The 9,926-nt window shown below is 40.2% G+C and overlaps 1 pseudogene; it reads right to left on the reverse strand.

The window, feature by feature from the left end:
- RPLP1P10 (ribosomal protein lateral stalk subunit P1 pseudogene 10) lies at positions 8,929-9,291 on the reverse strand (annotated as a pseudogene).

The raw sequence follows: 9,926 nt of genomic DNA on the forward strand, positions 1-9,926 counted from the left end.
CACAACCTGAAGAGGTCATAATAGTTATTTTTTCTGATATGCTTGTGATTTAGCCTTATGAGTCATCCTTCTTAGCAAAACAGAAATTGGATCTGGAGCCATGGAATTGTACAGAAATAGCTCATGTTCCAGCTTCCCAGATTTCTCACTCTGCTTTTGCCTTTTTTTTTTTTTTTTTTGAAAAGCACTCTCCTAACTCTATGATTTCTGACCCTAGAATCATCAAGTGTAGTTCCACACCACAGACACGTTGACCTTCTTCCAATGAACTGATTACCCAGTTCAGAAAACAAAAGCCAAATCATGCAAGAACACACACCAGTAGAAGGTTACAGGCAGCAATAGCACTTGAGAACAATACAAAACAAAAGGTAAAGATATAAAGCACTGGGAGACACAGGAGGATAAGGACATTCTGAATGCAGTCAAAAGCTGGAACAGGAGAAGTGGTAATAACATAATTTTAGCAGAGCTAAAATTCTAAGCCTATCCAACGTAAAATTAGCAGCTATAATTTGTTGCTTACGTACCAGACACTTTATATACATATTTCCTAATTCCCCAACAACTCTGCAAGGTAGGCATCCTTATTTGCTCTTTGCAGACAAGTATACTGAGATCCAGAGTTTACCTAACTCGCCCCAAATCACAGACTTATTAAGGGTAGAATCTGGGTATTGTCCCAGGTTTGACTGCCTCTGAAGTCAGTACCTGTCCACTCCACCACAAGGCCTCCTTGGAGGGATCTCCTTCCATTTTGCTCTCTGTTAGGAGTTACCCCACTGTCAAAGAGATGAACTCCTGGGCCTCCTAAGACAGCATTTTCCAAAATGTGCTCAATGGAACACAGGTCCTAAGAGGTCTTCTGTAATAAAAGGAATTTTAAGAACTGGGTAAATTAGGGAATAGGGAATACTCAGAGGATCTCAATGCACATTTAAGACAGCCTTGAGAATTTACTTGACCTTGACACATTTGTTTTACCTATATTTAGTATTTTTGAAAACAATATGGGAAGCTTTAGTCTCTTTTTATACCTATGCCTACGTGCTTAATAGCAAGACAAACCAAACAAAAACCCTTAAGCATTATGGGAAAACCCACTGAGCCAGATAAAGAGCTCACATATTTGTGAAGAACTAACTCCAAGCTGATAACTAACTCCTGAAATTCCTTATGCCGCCTTCTCTCCCATATCCTGCATCCATTTAGATTCTTGATTCTGAGCTTTCTTTATCTTTCAAACCTGCCCGCTTCAGCAGAGATAGAATATCCCTGCTGCCAGTGCCTGTTTTCAGAATCTTCATTTCCACATTTAATCTTCCACACCTCATTTCTCCAATCAATTTCATCTTCCACACTTCATCGAGAAATCTTTCTAAAAAATTGAATGTTAAAGAATACATCTGCTTGTGCCAAATTTTGTTTTAACACCTCTGCTATCTCTCTGCTGCTTATTAGAAGAAGTTCAAGCCTTTAGCTGGCACATGAAAACTTCACAGTCTTGTTCCAGTATATACCTTGATACTCTAATCAAGCTGATCACAACATCGTTTTCAACACATTTCGGGCCTTTCATGATGCCTTGTGTGGTGTTCCCTCTGCCCAGAATGGTCTTTCCTTCCTTCTTTGCATAGCAAGCCCTATTCCTCCTTTACACCCAGTTAATTATCACCTCCTTATTAAAATCTTTTTAAGTTTTGTGAGACAAAATTTTGCTACTTTATGTTCTCACAGAGTTCTGTTTCTTTCTCCAAAAGTTTACCCAATATCTTTTTATTTTAATTGCTTTCTTATTTTTCATCTTTACTCAACTGTAAACTTTTAAAAATAGAAACTATGTCTTATTTATTTTTTCAGTTTTGTGTGTAATAGCTATTCATGATATGTAGCAAAAATTGAAAGCCCATTACAGAGCACCCCAGATATAAATATTTAGTTAAGACGGCTGCTCCATTTTCACTTTCACACTCTCATTTTGAAGTTCAGCTTCATCATACTCCAAGCCTCTTGGATTTTCACGACTTTCTAAGTTTCACAATTATTTCTTTAGGATTCCTGCCTGAAGTGTGGCAGTTGATCACAATACCATTTCTTTGATTGTCTAGTGCCTCATGAGCCAAGCTTATCATTTCTGACACAAATATTTGTGATCTAGACCATGTATTTCCTGTGGAGGAGAACATTTTCCTTTTGAGAGGCATCTAAGCAGTTTCTTAAAAATTTGAAAGTCAGTGAATTGGGCACAACTTTCCCCCATAGCGATGAATGTTTCCTTTGCTATTCTCAGTGACCCTTAGCAAGATAGCAGTGTTTATGTGTGATGCAGCAGTTCTCAAAATGTGGTTCCTTGACCAGCATCAGCAGCACCACTTGGGAAATGAGAAAAGTACAAATTATCTGCCCCCTACCTCTGACACACGGAATCAAAAACTTTAGAAGTGGAGCTCTGTAAGCTATGTTTCCACAAGCCCTCCAGCTGAGTGTGAAGCACACTAAAGTTTAAGAACCACTGCTGTAAGAGCTTGGGCTTCCAAAACAGACTACTTGGATTCAAATGCTAGTTCTACTTCTACACCTTGTGTGTTTCCTGACACCTCTGGTGCTCCATCTCACATCCTCTTGGTCTGCATTTTTCTCCTGCCATTGCTGGGATACTTATCCCAGTCATACTTTGCCTCAGCCGCACTCGTCTCTTGCTTTGTGCTTTGTCATCACCACGTGGGACACCTGTAGAAACCTGTTCAACACTCTGATGCATGCACAAGCCTGAAAATGCAGGGAAATTAACTACTTGTGGGACAAACCTTTAACCAATGGAGATGGGAGTCATTAATTAGTCTCTTCTGTTTCTTAAGGACAATTTTGTGGCTTGTTGTCTTCAGCTCCTCAGAACATCTCAGGAGTATTGAGACTCTTTGCCCACTCAGTGACCATGTCAGTTACACACATTGGACTGGCTTTCCCTGCTTCCCTCTTTCACTCTTCTCAGTCCCCCATTACTAGTCATTAGGGCCACCTCCCAAAATAAACTACTAATTGGCAGGCAAGTCCATGCGTCTGGCCTTTTGGGGAATTCCAGGTTAGACATCTTATGAACACACAATTTAAAAATATATAATATTACATGGTAGTTCAATAGAGGCATTTCTACAGAGAGATACCTAATACAGATGCGTTTTGGCGGTATGTTCAAAGTTGTTAACATATGGAAAATCAGGATTGTAACCCTTGAAACAGTTTGTGAGGAAGCGGTAGGTTGTTGGGTGCAGAATGCATCAAATTTACAGTCTGGTGATTTACATCAAATTTATAGTCAGTGATTGAGGAAGGCATCTGAGAGCGGCAAGGAATTTGTCTCTGTGGCCTAGCAAAACTTGTAAACAATCAAGCCCCAAAACCACCTAGAATCAACATCAAGGCAAATCCATTCTCCAACATGATTTTTTCTCCTGAAATCTGTAGGGTGCTCCTCTGGGACCATTTTCTCTGTGCTCTTTGTGTTAATTTGGTATTTAATTTTATCTATAGAAGAATCATGGTGGGGGTTGGAGGGCAGTTTGCAGTAAAATCTACTTGTGGAGAATTCTACAGTGCTTAAAAGCTGAAACCACTGGATTCCCAAGAACCCACTGTAATATACTGTGTGAAGTTTGAGTCTGGTTTTTAGAGACAATTCAACAGTATCAGAATTTTTTACAGATACCCACATACTTTCAAGGGTAAAGAGTTTGGTTGGGAAACTAAGTTTTCCAGTTTGACCAACAGCAGGGTATTAATAATGGAAAGGGTGGTAAGGAGAGCAGTGTGGTGTGATGGGAAAAAGCAAGGTATTTGCATTCAAAAGATATGCAGTAATTACTTCTGCTATCCTGCTTATGTCCTATTACTCCCTTTAGACTCAGTTCTCTGAATATTAAATATAAAAAGCATGAATTATCTCTTCTACAAAGCCTAGCTGTAATATGACATGACGATTTGAAAATTATGGCTATAAGTGTGGTGTGAGTGTGTAAGTCTGTGTGTGGGATATGTTTGTGTGTGATCATATTACTGCATGTAATATCCTTTTGTGGCTTTTGAGGTAGAATCTCAGCTCTTTAGACTTGTCTTATAAAATTCTTCATGATTACAATCTGGTCTATGTCTCCAGCCAGTCTCTTGTTTTATACTCTATACATACTAAATGTCCAGTCACCCCAGACTATTATGTCTCTTGCCTGTAGCCCCTCAAACATGTTGTTACTCTGTCTGTCAGGGTCTCTATCCTTCCCCTGGCTTTTATCTACCAGCCCTTCAAGTCCCAAATAATTATAAAAGCAATAATAATACTAGTTATAGTATACTAGTAATGATAGTTTGAGTAACACTGAGACAAGAATAATAGTATTGACTATATCTTTGCAGAGCTTACTGTGTCCAGCGACTATGCTAATAACTTTTCATACATCATCTCATTTAATTTTTATCCCAGACTTATGAGGTTGTTTTATTGTTTTCATTTTAAACATTAAGGAACAAAGGCCTGAAAAAGTGCCTGCTCAAAGTCTTTTCCTCCTGAAAGACCTTCCTGATCTCTGAAATCTCCAGTGGCTTCCCATGCTATGGGCTCCTCTAGCACCAATAATAGCAACTAACACTACATGATGATATCCACGATGCTCCAAAAGGAAGTCTTGCTTACTATTACATTATTTATTACTGGCACAGTATTTAGTACATAGTACACACTAAATAAATAATGACTGAATGAATGAACTAATAGACTCAGAGCTCTCCTTTCACAAGATTGTGATTTAGTATACTAAACATCAGTGTATCCCATTCCTCAATTTTGTCCATCCTCCCTTTGCTCTATAATTTCTAGTTACTGAATGCATACTCATACTCAGTTACTATATCTGTAACTATATATATATATATGTAAATATATAATTATATATATACTGAGTATGCACTCAGTAACTAGATGCTCAGTATCTGAACCCTTGCCAAGCTTCAGTAGCAGGTAGGACCCTATCTCTCATTAAGAAAGCCAAAAGGCTTGCAAGGATATTCCTTCAGCCATGACTGTCTTCTGATTGCCATTGCAGTTACAACACATGGAGCTGCTCCTGGCTCTGCTGCTTTGTGAATTACTAGAATTTATGTAGTATTATTTCCTGAGCTGTGTATGGAAGTCAGAAAAGGCTCACAAATAGGAGGAACCTCCCACAAATTCCAGACTGTCTCTCTCCGTGTCCCCCATAAACAGGATAATATGAGAGCTTCAAGATTCAACTTGCTTGCCTCTGGAGTGGTCCTTAGGTAGTTGGGCACCCATCCTACTTGGCAGAAATTCCATATAGATTAATGTGAGTTGTGAGTGGGGTACAATGAATTTCTCAGTAAAGGAATAAAATAACATGCCAAGGTTTGTCCCTCATTTGAGATACTCTTTCTGGCTAATTTTATCTTTCTTGCAATTGGATTACAGCCAGATCCACTTTCACTTTTCAAAACCCAGAGACACCACAAGTTAATAGGATAGTCTTCCCTGTTAGTCATCAGAGACCTCAATTAACTGTAGATTCTGCCACAATCAAAAGGAAAGTTGGCAATCTTAGTTAAAGCCAAAACTTCACTTAAACATTTTCTCTTGCAGAGATACAGGTGTGACAAGGGTATTCCAGTTATAGTTTCAGAATCCACTGCTTATAAAGTATCATTTCCTTGTGTATACAGACTCATGCACTTAGGGTTCTACCACAGCAGCTGCTTCACATTTTGAAATTGAAGCAAAAGGAATTTCAAAAACAAGCAGATGTGGTGTGATAGGATTACCGGGTGGGGTCTGGGGTCCTAAATGTTGTTCTTGACTATATTGTGGATCTGACGGTTTTGTAGGAATATCCTGGCTCCCACCTTTAGCATCTGTTTCCAGATTAAATTGGGTTAGAGTAAGTGTCTAGGGCAGTCCCTGTAAGGCAAAATATTTTTTAAAAAATTTTAAATGTAGTTTGAGAAGTGTAGAAGGAGGAAGGACAGTCCCATACCATGTTTTGGTGGTGATGGGCAGGGTCTTCTCAGCAGCTTCTGAAGTTCTGGGTGGCCTGAGTCTGTGGTCTGTGGGAATGGACCTAATTTTCCAACCCCTGGGGTGGCTCTGAGTCAACCTAATCATGAGAATACTTTGGTAAACTATGTAAACGGAGAAAAACGCAGCTTCTCTGACCCTAAACTTTCCAACTCAGACAGGGGAATGAGGAGCCTTGAATCCAGATGTGTTGTCCACAGTGTTAGACAGCCAGATGTTGAGAACCAGCTGTCTCATAGACTCATTTGTCTTCTTTAATTTTTGTCCAAATGTGTGCCAACAGCAGGATCCAGCGGAAAGTTTTATTGCAATCTCCCTTCTTCTCATAACTTCTCTGTGAATGCTGGCACCACTAAAAAGGTGATAGGAATGGGTGTAGGAGTGGCAAACCATAGCACTAAGATACTTTTAAAAACTGAGACGGAAGGATGCTGATCACCTCTGATCTACCACATGACACCTTACAGGAGAGAAGAAAACGGGGAAGTCTGACTCCACTGAGCTTTACCACAGTCAGTAGCTGTTTGGGACACGTAATCTCAATCTCAAGCTTTCTGAAACAGAATCATCTAGAAGTGCTTGCTAAAAATACATATTCTAGATTCCTGCCCTTCATATATGGAATTTGGGGCCAGGAAACATGAATTTTTAAAAGTTCCTGGTATGATTCTTAAGTACTCCAAAGTTTGAGGACTTTTGCATATTTGACAGTACAGGCACTGTGCTCCAGCTACTGTGAAGATCCACTGAACTGCTTAACCATAATAAAGTTATATTTATTTAAGTCATAAAATACCCCCCAAGTTACTATCCCAGTGGGGTCTCTATTCTACCACATTTTACCCCTAAATTCCAGTTGCTAACTCTCATTCACGTTATTCCTGATGCCTGCCTAGCCTTCTTACCTCGTTTCCTGGCTCTTGCTAGTTTCAGGAACACAAAAATCTTAAAATGCCAGAGCTCGAAGGGACCAATGCTCCCAACAAATAGATACTGAGAATCTAGCATTGTTTTAAGGAGCTCCAATCTGAGGAGCCAGAGCCATATCAGTCCAGAGGCAACACCATCTAAAGCAAGCAACAGATACATTGCCCTTTTGTTGCCGTTTTTCTGTTTGTGACTAGTTCTCTATAAGAATAGGTTCTGTGTATTATCATCATTATAATCCCATGCATTTAGCACATGTCTGCATATTACAAGCTTATGACAAAAATCTGTTTAATATAGGAAAGAAGGAAGGAAATAATTTTCTTAAACAAAATTCATGTGGACCTGAGCTACCACTAATAGCCTTTATGCAGCCGAGACTGTTGGTGTTCATCAGTAACTGGTGCCATCAATAAACTGCATTAATTTTCTTGTGGGCACAAAACCACACTTTCCAGTCTCCTTTGTGGTAGGTGTGGTTGGTCACGCAACTGAGTTCAAACCAAAGAAAAGTGAGTAGAATTGAAAGGTACCACTTCATGTCTTGGACCATGAAGACCTCCTAAACTGGATTCTTGTTCTATTTCCCCATCCACCAATTAAATGGAGTTGACTAAGGCCCTAGAGGAAAGTGGATCGACAAGACTATAGAGCCTTCAGTCTCTGACTATGTGGAACTAAAGCCCCCTGGCCTTCACTGGATTATATGTGGGCAAGAAAGAAGCTTCTATGTTCTGCGTCCATGAAAATTTTGCATTGTTTATTACATCATGTAGCCCATTCAACTAGTTATGCTTGGAAACAGTCATGTTCTCACAGTTTTTGCCATTTGCCATGATGTTGCATTAGCCAGATGTCATTGAAATCATATTTCTCTCAGTCTTAAGTTTCCTGGTTCCAGAGAGTCTGCACTTACCAGATCTATGGTCACTAGCCAAAGAGTCAAGATCTCTGTTTCTTCAAAGTGGTGAATAATACAAGAAAGAATCTACACTGAAGAGAAGAAGGTAATATGTTAGGCCAATTTTCATCATTACCAAAGTGACCCAGTCATGAGGGCCAACTTCACAGGCTGTATGCTTAGTTTATGGTTCTGCTGTTGCCATCTTCAAATACTTAATACTTTCTTACCATTTCATTTTGCACTGGGCTCCACAAACAATGCAGCCAGTCCTGCCCACCATAATTAAAGGAAACAAACAGTTGCCCATTGGCCTGTCTTTGACTTCTACCCCCTGGGCAACTGGCTGCAAGACTTTTTGAACTATGGGAGTATGAGCTCAAAGACTACACATGATCAGTAGTTGCCCATGCCACAACTTCATCTCACATCTGCCCTGAACTATGGATGTTTCTCTAAACTCTGACCTTCCTTACTCTTTGGAAGATACCTTGAGGTGAGGGTAGCAACGTATTCCAGTGTAATTCCCCAGCAAGGAAACGGAAGCTTTCTTTTATAAAAACTAGCAAGAAGCCATGCCACCATTTTGAGAGTTTTCTGGCTCTGGCTCTGGCTTTGCTTTGATACAACATCCCCCACCCTCATCTTAATGTTTGAATAATCTTCTGTTGTTGTGAAGCTCCTGGTTTCTGATTCCTGATCTAGAGATTACCCTGATTTTTCATTACTGATTTGCAACCTCAATTACCTGAGACTTCAGATGTTTTAGATTCTCCTCTCAGTGCCAATGTCCTTGTCCATCTTCACATGGCTCCTCATGGACATCCCACTGATCCTTCTAACTTTCTTTCCATTCAGGTCCTGGAATGTGCCCTGCAGTTCTAGTTTGCCTGTTAGTTCTTGGCTAGGTTTTTCTTGTTGTTGTTGTTGTTGTTTACACAAGTCAGACTTCAAATTTTGCTATCATTATCAGAGGTATTCTTCTCTTTTTATGTATTTATCTATTTTTGTTTATTTATTAAGGGTTCAGCTATTTATTGAACATGTTATAAAACAAGTTTAGTCAAAAAGACCAAAGCCCATGTCCTAGTCAGGCTCCTCAGATTCTTCTTTTTTTGCTTCCACTTCCCTCTCCTCAGCTGAGGCAGCAGTGGTGGAAGTGGCAGGACCTCCTGCTTGTGCGGTGCAGGCTGCTGGAGCCATCTACCAACCCCTGCATTGCAAAGGAGGCTGCCGATATTGACACTGGCCAGGGCTTTTGCAAAGAAGCTAGGCCAAAAGGGCTCGACAGTTACAGCAGCTGCTTTAATGAGGTTATTGAATTTATCCTCCGTGATGGTCACCTCATTGCTTTGCAGAATGAGGGCCCAGTAGATGCAGACAATCTTGGGTGAAAGTGGGACCGGAGCTGCCGGCCCACAGTACTACTTGTGAGAAGTAGCACCATACCCGGCAGCTCGAGACTCACATTCACCACATTGTGGGTGGGGGGCCTCACTGCAATGTGGCCTTAGCTTTTTCAGAAGGACCGAGCACCTTGGCAGCAGCTGAGGGAAGGGACTCTTCCCGTTTTAATGTGGTCTTAACCAATGTTTAACAACTAGTTGTTTAGGGGAAAGGGGAAGAAAAGCCCCCATTTGGCTACCTTATTTTTTCACCAAAATTGCTTATTGATATTTCTATCTCCAGTCTTTCCCCTTTCTAACCTTGTCTCTGTATCACTTTCTAAAATGCGATGTCAGCATGTTATAACCTAGGTTAAAATCCTTTAGTAATATCTCACTGCCTGGAGGAAAAAGTCACGCATGGTCTTTCGTGACCTTGGTTCAATTTACTTCTTCAGCTTCATCTGTCAGCCTTCCATCTCTTATTCTATGCTGTAGCTAAACTTGAAATTCCCCCACAATGTAGTAGGGTTTTTTTTTTTACCTCTGAACATTTGCATATGGTATTCCTCTGCCCAGAATGTTCTTTTCCTGCTTTTTTTCACGTTGCTTATTCCTGTTCATCGTCAGGAGGTTG

The sequence above is a fragment of the Homo sapiens genome, chromosome 10 (assembly GCF_000001405.40).
Source record: "Homo sapiens chromosome 10, GRCh38.p14 Primary Assembly".
Taxonomy (NCBI): Eukaryota; Metazoa; Chordata; class Mammalia; order Primates; family Hominidae; genus Homo; species Homo sapiens.